This window comes from Homo sapiens, chromosome 12 (genome assembly GCF_000001405.40).
Source record: "Homo sapiens chromosome 12, GRCh38.p14 Primary Assembly".
Lineage (NCBI taxonomy): Eukaryota > Metazoa > Chordata > Mammalia > Primates > Hominidae > Homo > Homo sapiens.
In genome coordinates, this window is record NC_000012.12 from 6,109,635 (window position 1) to 6,126,283 (window position 16,649).

Below are 16,649 nucleotides of genomic sequence, written 5' to 3' on the forward strand. Positions count from 1 at the left end.
GAAATATTCATCTTTAGTGTTTTCTTTTTTTTTTGAGACGGAGTCTCGCTCTGTCGCCCAGGCTGGAGTGAAGCGGCACGATCACTGCTCACTGCAAGTTCTCCCTCCCGGGTTCACGCCATTCTCCTGTCTCAGCCTCCCAAGTAGCTGGAACTACAGGCACCCGCCACCACGCCTGGCTAATTTTCTGTATTTTTAGTAGAGACATGGTTTCACCATGTTAGCCAGGATGGTCTCAATCTCCTGACCTCATGATCCGCCTGCCTCGGCCTCCCAAAATGCTGGGATTACAGGGGTAAGCCACTGCGCCCAGCCTAGTGTTTTCACATTATCCATATTACTTTCTATTGCTCGTGAACACACACATGCACACACACATAAACTGGCCTTTTTGGATGGTGTGGAGGACCGACCACTCCATAGATTTTATCCACTCCACTGTAGTGGGCTGAGGAGGATCGACTCAAACTACCCAGCATTGACCAACCATCTGCCACGTGCAAGTTGCTACAGAGAATTCAAAGTTGAACGAAGTCAGCTTTGAGGAGCTCTAAGACCTGGTTTCACTAGAGGTCTAGGCATTGGAATGGAATGCAAAGAGATAAGGTTGGCAACATAAATTGAGGTGAGGTCACAGTGAGGCTTGAATGCCAGGGAAGGCATGTTAGTGAAGGTTTATGAGCAAGGAAATAAAAAGCATGGCCACACTTTAGGGAAATGGTATCCCAGAACATCTTACCTTCTTGGGTCATAAAGTCATCTTCAGCAAAGATGTTAAAGTTGCCACACAGCCCGCAGGTCTTGTTGAAGTATCTGTCTGACAGCAGGACTTGAAAGTTGCCGCTGCCATCGATCCTGGCCACAAAGCCATAGGCCTCACCGGACAGCTTGTAGTACCCAGCCTCAGTTTCTAGATACAGCCCTTTGGAGGCATAGGGCATGGAGACTCTGGAGGGCAAAGGCTAAGTTCAGAAGTGGGCTTCTTGTGCATTTTCTGGATGTCTCTCCCACCTTCTAACCCCAACCCCATGTTGTAGGGTTCAGAACATGGTGCAAAGTGGCTGAGGACCTAGATCAGCAATCGGGAGAGCTGGCTCTCACCCAGCCCTGCTACTCACTTCCTTGGAACATTTGCTTCCATTCTCTGGGCCCCAGCTTCCTCATCTAAAAATGAGGGGGTTGTGTCAGGGGATCCCTAGGGTCCTTTCTAACTCAGACATTGTTGGCTTACCTTTGGTCCCCCTGTGTCACGGTACCATTGACAAACAAATGGATGTCAAAAAATTCCCCAAGATACACGGAGAGGCTCACTCTCTTGCCATTCTGGAAGTCCCCTGAAAGAGAAAAAAGTCAATAGTAGTGATTATTACTCCTCTCAAAAAATGAATACATTGATTAAGAATCATTATCTACGTAACCTTTTCTCAGCAGAAAACGCCCCAAAAAGTCTTTACAAGCGAGCAACAAAAATCTCCCTAAAAATCTCATTTTCTCACCCATTTTTCCATTCATCTAAAAATAATTATTGAGTGACTTCTGGATACATTGCCCTCAGGTAGGCTCTCAAACATCACAAAAGAAAAATCTAAAAGCATGATCTTTTGCTTCTGGGAGTTTACAACCTGCGTATAAATAGAAGACAAACATGCGACAATTGAGTATATTGTAAGGCAGCAAACAAAAAGGCAACACTGTGAGTTACTGGTAACAGGTGCTCTAGGAGAGTGTTATTTATTCATTCATTCATTCACTTATTGAGACAGGGTTGTGCTCTGTTGCCCAGGTTGGGGTGCAGTGATGTGAACATGGCTCGCTGCAGTTTCTGCCTCCTGGGCCCAGGTTATCCTCCCACCTCAGCCTCCAGGGTAACTGGGATCACAAGTATGTACCACCACATCCAGCTAATTTTTTTTTTCTTTTTGTAGAGACAAGATCTCACCGTGTCGCCCAGGCTGGTCTTGAGCTCCTTGGTGCGAGTAATTACAGGCATGAGCCACCCCGCTCTGGCCTAGCAGTGCTATTTAAAATGGTATCGGTCGAGTGCGGTGGCTCACGCCTGTAATCCCAGCACTTTGGGAGGCTGAGGCGGGTGGATCACGAGGTCAGGAGATCGAGACCATCCTGGCTAACACGGTGAAACCCCGTCTCTACTAAAAATATGAAGAAAAAAAAAATTAGCCAGGCGAGGTGGCTGGCGTCTGTGGTCCCAGTTCTTTGGGAGGCTGAGGCAGAAGAACGGCGTGAACCCAGGAGGCGGAGCTTGCAGTGAGCGGAGATCGCGCCACTGCACTCCAGCCTGGGTGACAGAGCAAGACTCTGTCTCAAAAAAAATAAAAAATAAAAATAAATAAATAAATAAAATGGTATCTTAGGACAGCCCAAGTCAGAATCCCTGGGCTGTTTGTTTAAAATGGAGATTCATGAGCTCCACCTAAGTTTGCTGAATTTGATTATCCAGGAGTTTACAGATCGTGTGGGTCAAACGCCTTACACAGCACATGGAATTAATAAGGACACACTAAATGGTTGACAATGGAAATGTCTGAAGATCCAGACACATGATAAAATAGGCTCTGAGAATGGTGTGGTTGTGAGGGCTGAACAGGGTGACAAGGGTGATGGGACGGTGGCCAGCATGAAAGAGGAAACACAGGCAAGACATTTTTCACAGCGTGACCAAAGCTTAGCAAACCTCACCTAGTTTCTAAGAACTGCTACTCGTGGTGGGTCTTTGATATTCAAAGATAACTAATTGGTCATAAGAATCAAAAGACCCAGAAGGGAAAATAGAGAGTCTGGTCTCAAGCCTTGGAGACTGAGAAATTAATGGAAATAGGAAAGATAGGGGCAGCCAGAGAAAACAAAGAGCTGACGTGTGGGGCACAATGCCTTGAGGTCCTGAAGGAATGGGGCATAGGACTCAGGGGTAAAGTTGGTCTTAAAAATGAGCAAATCTCTCTTCTCCTAGAAGGGATAGGGGAGTGTGGGCTTCTTCTTGGCAAGAAGAGGCTAAGATGTCCGTGGAACGAAGCCCAGAAGACCTGGCAGGTCTGTTGACTCAAGGTGTTGCTGTCATGGCCAGAGGAGCTGGGGCAGAGGTCTCCTCACTCCTAGCCAGGAGAGGAAGAGTCCCCAGCAGGGCTCTGGGCTGAACTGAGGCTGCAGGAGGACAACCACACACACAGACACACAGACACACACACACACACACACACACACCACACGCACACACACCATGCACACACATAAGCATGCACCCTGGAACACACAAACACTCCAAACCAACCCGAATGAGCTACAGAATAGACTTGTTTCTGGTGGAAATTCAGTGAGGGCTCTCCCACGTAAATAATAAGTCTATTCTAGGAATAGTTTTAATGATATGCCAGCAGCAGCAGCCACCAGGAAAGACACACAGACCACTCACAGTCCATAAACCACATTCTGCGGAGCTCCAGATCAACACAACTGGGAGAAAATGGAGATGCCTGCCAAATGAAAGGGGACTTGTCCTGTTTGAGCTGAGGTGTCTCCCTTGCTCTGCATTCCCACCTAGAACAGTTTTTACAGCAAGCAAACCTTTAGAAGCTGAACAAACTTACTGACAGCAAGAAATTGGCCAAAGAAAAAGAAACAACTGGAAAAGTGATTGCGTAGAGAAACTTTTTTTTTTTTTTTTTTGAGACAGAGTCTCGCTCTGTCGCCCAGGCTGGAGTGCAGTGGCGCGATCTCGGCTCACTGCAAGCTCCGCCTCCCGGGTTCACGCCATTCTCCTGCCTCAGCCTCCCGAGTAGCTGGGACTACAGGTGCCCGCCACCATGCCCAGCTAATTTGTTGTATTTTTAGTACAGATGGGGTTTCACCATAGCCAGGATGGTCTCGATCTCCTGACCTCATGATCTGCCTGCCTGGGCCTCCCAAAGTGCTAGGATTACAGGCGTGAGCCACCGTGCCCTGCAAAGTAACTTTTTCTTTTTTTCAGTAATGTATTTACCAGTAATGGTAGAATCTGAGTGAGGAGTATATGGATCTTGAAGTCTTTCAACTTTTCTGTATGTTTCAAAATTTCCATAAGAAAATGTCGAAAAACCAAACAAATGGGACAACCAGGTAACAACCTCCAGTTTGCACCCTCTCCCTTCCAGGGCCCTAGGCATTTGCACTGGGCCCAAGACCAAATCCCTCCCTCGGCCTTTTCTGGGGCTGGAGCTCTGAACACTACACACAGCCCAGAGTGAGCCCATGTGACAGGGCAGGGACCCACTTCACACTCCTCACTGGAGACCTGCCAGAGCAGAAGCCTCCACCTGCCAGATGGCAGACAAATGAGCCCACGAGGTCTGGGCTCAGGGGTCTGTGTCCCTATTACCACTGAGCCTGTCTCCCCATCAGTGAATCCTCCTTTCATCCCATCTCACAGGGAGTTCTGCCTCGGCTTCACTGGGTAACTCAACCAATATGTCACCTCCGAGCCAAAGGCATCTCCCTCCTGGAAATGGGAAAGGAACCCCCGTGAGCCCCTCCTTGGTGTTTCTCCTTCTCCTGGGGATGCAGAAAGGGTGGGTGGGACCAAGTCTCCCAGGGACTGTGGCTGGAGAATGGGTAGGGAACGCTTCAGAGGCAGCCAGGCAGCTTGGGGTTGGCATGGCCCTGTGGCTGCTGATCTACAGCTCTTAGAGGCTTCCAAAGATGCAAAATCACTTAAGCAAGGTACTCGTTCCACAGGAGGCAGAGCTGAGCGGGTGCCACAGGGGAGCCCGGAGGTCGCTATGGCTATAAGTTTGTAAAGTAAGGCCTGCAAGGCTGAATAAACCAAGAATTCAGCAGAAGCAGAAAAATCAAACAGGAGAGAACCAGGAGAAGTGTATGGGAGAGAAGGAGAGCCCCAGCCCTCCTAGAGTAAATAACAGAGGAACCTGTCCACACAGGCTGCGGGGCTCGGGGCTGGCCAGGCGGCAGACCCTGGGGTAACTTGCCTATCATCACAGAGCTAGTCAGTGATGAAGAGCTGGGACTCAAGCGAGTGCTGTTTTAAGTATGTCAAGGGCTTGCTCTGGGCAGCCCAAGGAGAGACCAGCATCAGGAAGTCCAAGGGGCAGCCCAGGGCTGAGCCTGTGTGAGGCAGCTCCAGGCAGCCAGGGGACGTGGGGCTGGCTGCCCTTGGAGCTTCACCTACCGCAGGAACTGGGGCTCCTGAAGGGGATGATTCAGGTTCTGGTAACCAGCCCCCATCCACCCAGAGACAAACCAAAAACAGGAGTCTAGGGGCAGGAGTGGGGCTGCATCGTGCCCTTCAGTGAGGATTGAACTGCATGGCAAGGAGAATTCCTGGCCCTGGATGGCTGAGGGGGCTTGAAGAGCAGTCAGTCCACAGCCGGAGCAGGGGAGTGGCAAGGGAATTTGGGGTTTTGTTTTCTTTTGTTTTGAGGTCTTGCTCTATCGCTCAGGATGACATGTAGTGATATGATCACAGCTCACTTCACCCTCGAACTCCTGGGCTCAAGCAATCCTATTGTCACAACTTCCCAAATAGCTGGAACTACAGGTGTGTGCCACCATGCCCAGCTAATTTTTGTATATTTTTGTACAGATGGGGGTCTCGCTATGTTGCCCAGGCTGGCATCGAACTCCTGGGCTCAAGCAATCCTCCCGCTTCAGCCTCCCAAAGCATTGGGATTATAGGCATGAGTAACTGTGTCCAGCCTGGCAATGAGATTTTTCAAAGTGTGATCTAGGCCTATAATTCAGAAAAACATACTATGGCAGCAGGAAGAATCTAAATAAGCGGCTCTTAAACTCTTTTGCTCAGAAAGCACAGTAAAAACACAACTTTATGACTCAGGACACACACACACACGTTTCATATCATATTTACCCTTGCCGTGTGCCATGCACTCTGATATTTTCTGATGTTTTCTAACCTTTTCTGTCTTTTTAAATGCTAGTTATAACCACTCAACTCATTTTAGGACCCATGGCCCATGACTCAGTTCAGAAAACAATGATCTAGGCTGACTTCATTTTACAGACGGAGAAACGAAGGCCTAGGTTTACAGCAGGATTTCTCCACTGCATTACTATTGCATTCAGCGCCAGACACTTCCCTGTGCATGGTGGGAGAACCAGCAGCCTCCTGGTCTCTACCCACTAGATGCCAGCAGCACCCACTCCACAGTTGTGACAACCCAAAATGTCTCCAGACACTGCAAAATGTCCTCAGGGGGAAAACCACCCCGACTGAGAACCCCTGGTTTCCACTGTGGAAATGGAGCAGAGCCTACACTCAGGCTTTTTTGACTGTCCAAATCCCCTTTTTGCAACACAAAGCTGCGTAACAGGGCATCGGAGTGTTCTAGGATTGCACTAATCACTAATGCAGGGAGAACTCCAGACCAGCCTTGCATTTTATTTCCCTCATTCCCTCCATGCAGAACTCAGGGGCATCAGATGATGTGCAGCCATTAGGAAAACGAGCCATTAGAAATCGCCGGTGAGCCCAGGAGAGACCCCTGCACTCCACAGACCTCCAGGTTAGCACTTTCTATAACTCTTAGGAAAAGAGAGGCTGGCTGTCACCCCAAAGAGGCAAGACAAGCCAGCGAAGCTCTCCCAGAGGCTCCCACCAGGCCTGCTGAACGCAGTGATTAAGGCGCTGAGTGAGGAGTAAGCTCCTAGCCCACATATTAGAGTGAGAGGAATCCTGGGACCTTCAGAAGCAGGCCAGGAGCTGGAACTACCGTCAGACCTGGGCGCTCTCTTAGGCTTTAGTGTGGAACTCACTCATCTGCATTTCCACTAAACACTCTACCTTCTATGCCCGTGATTCTGGTGCAGGTGACCCTCCCTCCAAACTGAGAACAGGGGTCTGGTCTGACCATGCCACGGAAACTAAGGCTCCCCGGGGGAAGTGACTCAGCAGGCTGTTGGTTGTTGATGGCTCTCTCTTGGCAGGTATGAGAGCCAGATCCTGCAGCCGTAGCTTAGGAAGAGCAGTCTCTACGGAGGAGCAGGAACCAGGACTCCCATAGTCTCTCTCTGGCCTCTGTGCTGTCTGGCAAACAGCCGTGTCGCCTTGGCCTCGAACCCTGGAGCCTGCCTCACCAGGAGACAGAATCAAGGACAGGGGCCTCGCCTTGGCACCAGGTGGCCCTTCGTGTGCGTACATAAACACTTTTCCCAGGATATGAATAAGGTCCACAGGCACTCGGGAGGAATGTGGATGTGCGATTTACGGTCAAGGAGACAGGATGTCATTGCAGAACAATGGAAAAGAAGGTAGGCATGTGCACGGAAACTGAAACTGCAGGGCCCAAGTCCTGGGCTCCCTCCCCTGACCCAGTGCCCCTGGCTGCCCTGATGCACCAATGCCAGCCCACCCCCCTCTAATTCTTCCTCTTCTCCCACACACCCCAAACCTGCCACCACCACCAACAAGAGGCAAAGCAGCCACCCATTCTCTATGATGTTAGCAGCACGGTTTTGGTGAAAATGAAATCAATTTACATTAAAGTGTGTTTGATCCATAACCTTGTTTAGGCAAACAATCTCCCAGAAAATGGACACTTCACAAGGGCAAACAGCTTATAAGAAAAGAATAATGACCTGGTGGGGAATCCCACCAAGGGGTTTTGAGGTAGACAGGCCTTCCATGGCCCTTCAAATTCCTCTGTGACCACTGAAACCCAGAAAACGGTGGCCCGAGAGGCCAGACCTCTAGCACAAACCTGTGTGGATTATGAGGGGGAGTTGAAACTCAAGTGACCCTGACCTCGTGGAAATGCCTGGGGGCCCAGCAGCCCCTGTCTCTGCATGGCGATTCCAAGTGAACACCCCATGTTAAGCTGGCTGCTTTCAATAACTCAGCTTGGCTAAGCAGTCACATTTTCAGATAACCTGTCTCCCTTGATGCTCACAGTATCTCCATTTTAAAGATGAGGAACCAAGGCCGAGGCGGGCGGATCACCTGAGGTCGGGAGTTCGAGACCAGCCTGACCAACATGGAGAAACCCCGTCTCTACTAAAAACACAAAATTAGCAGGGTGTGGTGGCGCACGCCTGTAATCCCAGCTACTCGGGAGGCTGAGGCAGGAGAATCGCTTGAACCTGGGAGGGGGAGGTTGCAGTGAGCCGAGATCGCACCACTGCAATCCAGCCTTCCAGCCTGGACAACACGAGCGAGATTCCATTTCAAAAGATGAGGAATTGGAGGCTAAGACAGCACAACTGCCCTCGGAACACTCAGTGAAGAGGGAGAGCAGAGGAGAACACGGGTTTTCCGACTGCAACTCTGGCTCTGTCTGTGCTTCCATTTCCTGCTGGGGGCAGAGCCACCCAGTTCTGTGGGACGGAAACCGACCAGTGAGCACGAGTTGATGAGCCCAGTGCTGGACGGGTGGAATGGGCAAGAGGGCTTCCTGAAGGAGGTGACCGAGACAGCCCAGAGGCACCAGCACACGCTACATGTCCCCACCTGGTAGGGCTACCCTGACTTGGGGAGAGGTCTGGAGTTGGGCTCAAATAGGGGAAGGGAGCTTTTTCAACATGCTGACTTGGCTCTCTGAGCCCAGAACATGAACTCTGTGCCTGGGACTAAGGTATTAGTATGTGTTGTTTACCAGCCCGTCTCGGGGCAGGGAGTCCAGAGCAGAGCTGAACTAACAGAGATTATGGAGTCCAGACAGCAATCCACCCGCCCCCACCCCGGGCACTGCAGTGTCTCCATCAAAATCTTCCTCTGGTCACTTTTTTTTTTTTTTTTTTTTTTTTTTTTTTGAGACAGAGTCTCACTCTGTGCCCAGGCTGGAGTGCAATGGCGCAATCTCGGCTCACAGCAACCTCCACCTCCCAAGTTCAAGTGATTCTTGTGCCTCAACCTCCCGAGCAGCTGGGATACAGGCACCCACCACAACGCCTGGCTAATTTTTGTATTTTTAGTAGTGACGGGGTTTCACCATGTTGGCCAGGCTGGTCTCGATCTCCCAACCTCAGGTGATCCGCCCCCCTCGGCCTCCCAAAGTGCTGGGACTGCAAGCATGAGCCATTGCACCCGTGCACCCGGCCTCTTCCGGTCACTTCTAACCCTCCATTCCCACTGACAACCCCAGAGCCATCACAGGTAGTGGTCTGTATCAGCTCTGCCGTGATTTATAAAATGGGAAAATCCACTTTAAATAAAATCTGGGGTCACCAAGGTAGGGAGGGCATGAGCCTTCAGCTTCCCAGGGGCAGGGGTTCAGGGGTTCTCTCCAGCTGCTCTTCCAGCTCCTCCCCAGCTGCAGCCTCTGAAGCAAGTTGGGACCCTCACGGTCAGTGTTGAGGATGACTTTCTTATTTGTCATGCCCTGGGGCGCCTCTGGCCTTTTCACTACCTCCCTGGTTACCACGGCCAAGGCCATTCCGCCTCCTACCTCTCTCCTTTTCAGGACCATCTTGGCAAAGAACCAGTTTCCTCTCACCACTTCCCTGCTGCACAAGACCCTATACTAGTTCCTCACAGCCTGCGGAATCGACTCAAAGTCCCCATCAGACTCCAAGACCCTACACTGCAGCTTCACCCGATGGTACAGCCTCCCAGCCTACTCTCCTCCAGTCCCGCACCCTCAAAGTCTGGTTACCCACCCTAAGAGCAGCAGCAGCAGTTGGGAAATTTTCAGGCCCCCTTCCATTTCTACTGAGTCAGAACTCCAGGGGCAGGGCCCAGTGATCTGTTTGTCACAGCTCTCCGGGTGGTCCTGATGCAGCCTGGAGTTTGGCAACTGCTGCTCCAGCCACACTGACCTCCCCAGGGCTCCATGTCAGGAGTACATGCCCCTTCCAGCCTCCCCACTTCTCATGCTGTCCCCACCACATGCAGCACCCTCCCCTGTCTTCTCTGGCCAATCAAAGCTCCTTCCCTAGGGCTCCTCACACACACTCTGTAAACATCTTCAGACCAGGCATGGTGGCTCATGCCTGTAATCCCAGCACTTTGGGAGGCTGAGGCGGGTGGATCACCTGAGGTCAGGAGTTCGAGACCAGCCTGGCCAATATGGTGAAACCCTGTCTCTACTAAAAATACAAAAATTAGCCAAGCATGGTGGCACCTGTAAGCCCAGCTACTTGGGAGGCTGAGGCAGGAGAATTGCTTGAACCCAGGAGGCGGAGGTTGCAGTGAGCCAAGATCGCACCACTCACTGCACTCCAGCCTGGGCAACAGAGCAAGACTCCGTCTCAAAAATAAATAAATAAATACATAATCTTCAGCACAACAGAGAACTCGGTGAGCTAAGCACCAGGAAACACAGATGAGTGAGACATGCTCCTTGTCCCTGAGGAGCTCATGGAGGAGTGGGAAGGATGGCAGTGCCCAGAAGTCATATGTGATAAGTTTCCCAGCAGAGTCAGGGCAGGTAGCAAAGATGGCCTCAGGGAGAAAGCAGGAATGCGGGGAGCTCATAGCTATAGCCAGGTGCTAGACAGAGCCTAGCCCAGTGCTGGGCACATGGAGGACCCTGTGTCAGTCCCCGCTGACTGATGGAGCAATGACCCCAGGAGCCCTACAGCCCAGATCTCAGGTAAGTGTCCAGGTGTTGCCAAAGACTCCCTCCTTGACCAAACTTGAGTGGGGCACTTCTGAGCCCTCTTCTAGATTAAGCCTTGGCCTTGGGCTCTGTCCTTGGCCTGCTTAGTCCAGTTTTTTTGTTTTTTGTGGGTTGTTTTTTTTTTTGAGATGGAGTCTCGCTCTGTTGCCCAGGCTGGAGTGTATCTCAGCTTATTGCAACCAGGTTCAAGCGATTCTCCTGCCTCAGCCTCCCAAGTAGCTGGGATTATAGACACACACCACCACACCCGGCTAATTTTTGTATTTTTAGTAGAGATGGGGTTTCACCATGTTGGCCAGGCTGGTCTCAAACTCTTGACCTCAGGTGATCCACCCACCTTGGCCTCCCAAAGTACTGGGATTACAGGCATGAGCCACCGTGCCCGGCCTCAGCTCCACCTTTTATTGTCTGTCAGGCCTTGGAAGGATCATGCAACCTTCATGAGCCTTGGTTCTCCATTGGTAAAACTGGGATGACTACAGCTACATCCCAGGGCTGTTGTGGGGATGCAGGGACATGGCAGGGACAGTACCAGCCCTTCTGCAGGAATACAGGAAGTCCTCAGCATAAGCTGATGTTCTGATCCACAGGCCACCAAGAAAACAACAACGAGTCTTCTCTCTGGCAAGGAGTTTTACACGTTCCAAAGCACCTTCTCTAGTTCATCATTTGCCTTGATGCTGTGGAGTTCCCAGGGCATCGCCGGGCCCCAGAGCAACGGACACAGTGGACTACCAAAGATGAAGACTCTCTTCATCCATCCCACCCGGCTCCCGTGGGGAGAGACCCGGGGAAAGCCAAGAGGGGCTACGTGTCACAGAAAGGCTGTTCCTCTCCTTGTTCTCAGCAGTGACCTTTCCGCTCAGACACTGTCCTGAGAGCAGGAATCCTCCCCCACACCAGGGCTAAGCTCAGCCAGCCCTCCCTCTGAAGTCCTCCCTGCAGTGCCCAGAACTCACCAATAATCGAGAAGGAGCGTTTCTGGCAGCCCCCTGCCAGGAGGTAACTGCAGTATCCCGCAAAGCTGTACATGCTCCCATCAAAGGTGTTGACGAAGTCACTTCCGAAAAGGCTGCATCGGGCCGTGGATGACCTGCCGCGAGTTCCTTCTGCACAAAGGGTCCCTGGAGGGAGAGGCCACAGGTTGGGCTGGTGATCTCAGGGCACAACTGGGACCATCAGCTCAAACCTCTCTGGCCTCGTAGAAATTAGACTGCCTCTGATAGAAACTGGGCTGTGGGGAGGTATTTTCCATCCTAAATGAGACTAAAGCTGTTGCTTTCAGCTCCCAGATATGACCCCAGACTCACAGCAATAACTAAGGAACAGTTTTTCAGGAAATCCATTAGTTTCAATGACATTTACTTACTGATTTAAAATGTCATCATGTCCATTATTAAAAATTTGGGGCATACAGAAGAAAACAAAGAAGCTGGCCGGGCACAGTGGCTCACGCCTATAATCCCAGCACTTTGGGAGGCCGAGGTGGGCAGATCACCTGAGGTCAGGAATTCAAGACCAGCCTGCCCAACATGGCGAAACCCTGTCTCTACTAAAAATACAAAAACTAGCCGGGTGTAGTGGTGGGCGCCTGTAATCCCAGCTACTGGTGAGGCTGAGGCAGGAGAATCACTTGAGCCCAGGAGGCAGAGGTTGCAGGGAGCCAACATCATACCACTGCACTCTAGACTGGGCGACAGAGTGAGACTCTGTCTCGAAAAAAAAAAGAAAAAGAAAAAGAAAAGAAAAGACAAAGAAGTTAAAACCATCTGTAACCCAACATTCAGCGATGATTAGAGTTAACATTTCAATGTTCATCTTTCCATTTTGTTGTATAGCATATATACAGCTGTGGGTTTTTTATAAATTGGTGACCAACTTGTGCAAACTACCTATAACCTCTGTTTATTTCTCAATAGATTGTAAACAATTTGTCGTGCTAGTGTATATACTTCCAATATGCGGTTTTTAGTGGCTGCATTATATTTTGCATCTGAATGTCTATAGTATAGCCCTCTATTGTTAGGTTTCTAGCATTTTTCCATGTTTTAATATTATAGATAGATTGCAGTGAGCATCTTTGTACATAAATCTACTAGCATGTCTTGGGCATGTTAAATTTTAAACAGATCAGACTGTGTGCCTGACACATAGACTCTCTGAAGTGTGAACTCCTCCGGCGTCACAGGCTAACTCCTTCACTGACTATGGGTGTGTGTGTGTCGGCAGGTGGGGAAATACAGCAGTAAATCTCTAAGTGTTCTGGGTTCCCCGGCAAAAGACCCACCTAGTAGGAAGATGCAGAGAGTGTGACAAATGTGTATTTTTTTTCCCAGACTCACCTGTGGGCAGTAGCTGGATGCTGCTGACCTGAGAGATCTAAGTGGAAAGCGCCCAAGGTCAAAAGTCCCCTCCCGCCATTTGCAGACCCAGAATCTTAGCAAGGGAAGGGCAGCAGTATGATGCAGTGCAGTGGAAAGGGTGTTGGCCTGGAACCCAGGAAGACTGACCTCTGATTTTGGCTCTAGGAGACTTTGGAGCAGTCATTTCTCCTCTCTGACCCTCAGTCTCTTCATTGTACCATGGGAGGTTCAACAAGGTGACCTCCACAATCTTATCGAAAACTAATAATCCATCCAAGTCTTGGATTCCTTCCTCCTCATCCTGTGCCCCCATAATATAGGACAGTTCTGTGCCACCTTTATGCTTCTTAATTCCCCAACAGGAGATGGCATTTGCAGGCACCTGGTCTCTGGAATACAAGTCAAGGGTGGGAACTCCGCAGAACCTTCACAGGAGGCAACCAACAGCCTAAGTTAGGGCTGGGCACACAGGTGAGCTCCAGACACACCTGCTGATTCCCGGAAAGGTGTCACTCCAGATGGCCCTGGGGCAGGAATGAGAAATGGAGGCCCTTTTGTACCTACCTGGCAAAATGAGGGCCAGAGCAAGCAGCACCCCGGCAAATCTGGCAGGAATCATCTGCAAAGAAGCAAGAGACGTGAGCTGGTCATTGCTGCCCAGGTAGGCGGCTGCTGGTGTGGCGACTATCAGGGCATGCAGTAGCAAAAACATTTCTTTAAAGCAGGAGAAAAGATTGATCCTCGTGACCCCCTTTTCCCCTTTGAACATGGACTTCTGGCCCCCGAAAAAACCCCTGGCCAGTGCCAGGCCCAAGGGTAACAATCGCTGTGAGCTGGGACCTGTGGGCACCTTTCCACAGACAGCAGTCCCAGGCCCAAGACAGGAGGAAAACGCTGCCTTCCCTCCAGGCCCGCTGGGCCTCACATCCCTGCCTCCTGAAGCAGCTGGGAGCTAACACACACCTCATTCCTTCCTGCCTCTGCATCCAAACTGGCGAGTAGGAACCGTCTTACACTTGTGTGCCCACCACAGCAGCCCAGACATAGAGAATGCTCAGGAACCACCAACTTGACGGTTTGCTTGTTGGCCCCTGACTCTGTACCACAAGTGCCTTCACAAGAGCAAAGGCTGTCTCCCTTGCCTCCAACCCCAGCACCTGGCAAGATGCTTAGCACCCAGGAGATGCCCAGCAAATGTTTGCTGAGTTCATCTGAAAAAATGGACAGGAGTCCAGCGGCCCTGGATGCAGGCAGACTTCCCCACTGTGTGACCCCCAAGAGAGGGACAATTCATCCTGGCTGGCAGAGCGTACCCCAAGTCACTTAGAGCCCCTGCTGTAGCCCCTCTCCTCGGGAAAAGTTGTTAAATGAAGTGCAGAATCTGCTGCCTGAGATTCACTGGGGGTGACTCCCTTCCTACCTAAGGTCCCATCCAGCCAAAGGTGAAATCAAGCCAATCTGTGATACATCTGTGGAAGGAACACTGAGATGTCAGATACTGCCAGGTCTCGGTCTCCAAGCAGGTGTCCCCTCCCAGTCCTAACACGCAGGTACATTCAGCTGCTCCCAGGTTCTCAGAGGTGAGGGCAAACTTCATTCCAACTCATTTGAGTGAAGTACTATCAAACAGTAAAACCCACTGCATGAAGAAAAGCAGCCCCAGGACCCTCAGAGGCAAGTGGAGGAGGGAGTATTAGGATCATCCCTGGCTGAATTGAATTGCCCCTCCAAACAAAGCCCTTCTAGTCCAGCGACAGAGAACTCCAGCTCCCCAGGAGCAGGGATCAGTCAGTCCTGCATCTTCCTCCCACAACTGAGCCAGCTCTCCTTCCAAAGGCCATACCTTCCCCTGCAAATGAGGGCTGCGGCTATCTCCAAGGTCCCTGGGAAACTCAGCTGCTGGACAATGGTGCCGCCCACCCTAGGCCATGCTCTCAGCTGCTGCAAAGGCTCAATCAGGTCTGCTACAGCTCCGGACTGTCTTGCTGTTATGTAGCCCAGGGGCTGTGGAGTCCCCACTGCTGGGGGAGATAAAGCCCAAGCTGTGACATCCACCAACCACCCTCCCTTTCCCACCACAATAGCTGTGAGCTGCCACAACAGGGGATTGGCCTCCTTTTAATTACCAAAAGGAAACAATGAAAGGAAATGGTATTAGAAGTACCTCCAAGCTGATAAAGCTTTGTAGAGTTTGGAGGGAGACCTCCTGGCAGCTGCCTTAATTAACTGCCTTGCCCTCCCCAAACACCCCCTATCCCTACACCCCCACACTTGATCCCTGGTCTTCCTAGAGTGCCCCACCTGTGTGGGATAACCAGGAATGCTGGTTGTTTCAGGGCAAGCTGATACAGGCCAGGGGGAATCACAGTAGAACAACACAGCTTCCTGATCCAGCTTCCAGGGCTGGACTCCAGGGAAGTTGAGAAAAACACCTCAACCTGAGCCAATTTTGCTGCTGTGTTTGGAGGAAGGGGAGTACTAACACTTCCTATGCACCCCAGGTATGAAGGATCCGGTCCTGGCCCTGACAAAAACAGTCCATTTGGATCCTGGCCAGGGTTGAATGGATCGGCTAAAGATGAAGGTCTTGGCCACAAGCCTAAGCCTTTGTAAAATGGTGAAGGTGGGGAGTGATGGTTTGAGTCTAATACTTCTACTGTTGCTACATTCTAATAATTCTAATTCTCAAGGACATTTCCACCCACTTCTGGTACCCTGATCTTACACACACACACACACACACACACACACACACACACACACAATTCTTCTTCCCAGCCTCCCATTCCCAAAAGCCTAATTCTCAACACCATCTGCTAAACTAATTCCTACTAAAATAAGTAACTGATGCAATGGGCAGCGGTGGGGGGAAGATGACTCTCGTGCTGGGATTCCAGGCACTGAGACAAGCACCCTGAGGCATGTCTGGGTATGGAAGACCTCCTCACTGCTTCTCCATGATACCTCCTGCCCTAAGACTTTGAGAAACCACTAGGTTCCAACCTCCTCCCTTCCCACATACCTCGCACTCTGCTACTCCCTTTACCGCCCCAGGAGAGGAAGATGCACACTCCCAAGGAAGAAAAATGGCACCAGAGGCAGAATCAGCATGAGACAGTAGAAAAGGCCATTGGGGGGCCGGGCACGGTGGTTCACGCCTGTAATCCCAGCACTTTGGGAGGCCGAGGTGGGCGGATCACGAGGTCAAGGGATCAAGACCATCCTGGCTAACATAGTGAAACCCCGTCTCTACTAAAAACACAAAAAATTAGCCAGGCGTGGTGGCGGGCGCCTGTAGTCCCAGCTACTCGGGAGGCTGAGGCAGGAGAATGGCGTGAACCCGGGAGGCGGAGCTTGCAGTGAGCTGAGATCGAGCCACTGCACTCCAGCCTGGGTGACAGAGCAAGACTCCGTCTCAAGAAAAAAAAGAAAAGAAAAGAAAAGGCCATCGGGATTTCCACTTCCAGCTCTTATTTAAAAAAACTAAATAACTAATCTGAAAACCCTTTCATTACAAAATATCTTTAAATGCTGTGCTAAATACAACAAATGTTCTTTAAATCCACAGTTGATCTGGGAGGAAAGTAAGGAATATCTTAAAGGGTCAATGAGGAAGAGGAGCCTAAATGAGCATGAGGCAGGGTAGGCCCATGGGTGGCCTAGCGTAGGCCAGTCTGGGAACCCTCCAGACTGGAGGCCGCACATT

General features: G+C 50.8%; 1 protein-coding gene across 2 annotated transcripts in view, besides 3 other annotated features; it reads right to left on the reverse strand.

Moving 5' to 3' along the window:
- The window catches only part of VWF (von Willebrand factor), a 175,794-nt gene extending 160,758 nt beyond the window's left edge, over window positions 1–15,036 (reverse strand). Inside the window, exons 1-5 of one of the 2 annotated variants that reach the window (NM_000552.5) lie at window positions 14,787–15,036; window positions 13,508–13,562; window positions 11,540–11,704; window positions 1,232–1,334; window positions 740–948 (exon numbers count right to left, since the gene is read on the reverse strand). In NM_000552.5, the coding sequence (NP_000543.3) occupies window positions 740–948; window positions 1,232–1,334; window positions 11,540–11,704; window positions 13,508–13,562 (532 nt within the window). In that variant the 5' untranslated portion in view covers window positions 14,787–15,036. The other variant, XM_047429501.1, reaches the window with a different exon arrangement.
- Window positions 6,623–7,126: an enhancer, noted in NCBI's record as "H3K4me1 hESC enhancer chr12:6225423-6225926 (GRCh37/hg19 assembly coordinates)". NCBI's record gives its function as "activates a minimal SCP1, AML or CMV promoter by ChIP-STARR-seq in naive H9 embryonic stem cells {active_cell/tissue: H9 hESC(naive)}" and the evidence as "EXISTENCE:reporter gene assay evidence [ECO:0000049][PMID:30033119]".
- Window positions 7,127–7,628: an enhancer, noted in NCBI's record as "H3K4me1 hESC enhancer chr12:6225927-6226428 (GRCh37/hg19 assembly coordinates)". NCBI's record gives its function as "activates a minimal SCP1, AML or CMV promoter by ChIP-STARR-seq in naive H9 embryonic stem cells {active_cell/tissue: H9 hESC(naive)}" and the evidence as "EXISTENCE:reporter gene assay evidence [ECO:0000049][PMID:30033119]".
- Window positions 9,269–9,563: a silencer, noted in NCBI's record as "tiled region #6202; K562 Repressive non-DNase unmatched - State 21:Repr". NCBI's record gives its function as "represses a minimal TATA promoter and a strong SV40 promoter by Sharpr-MPRA in K562 cells {active_cell/tissue: K562}" and the evidence as "EXISTENCE:reporter gene assay evidence [ECO:0000049][PMID:27701403]".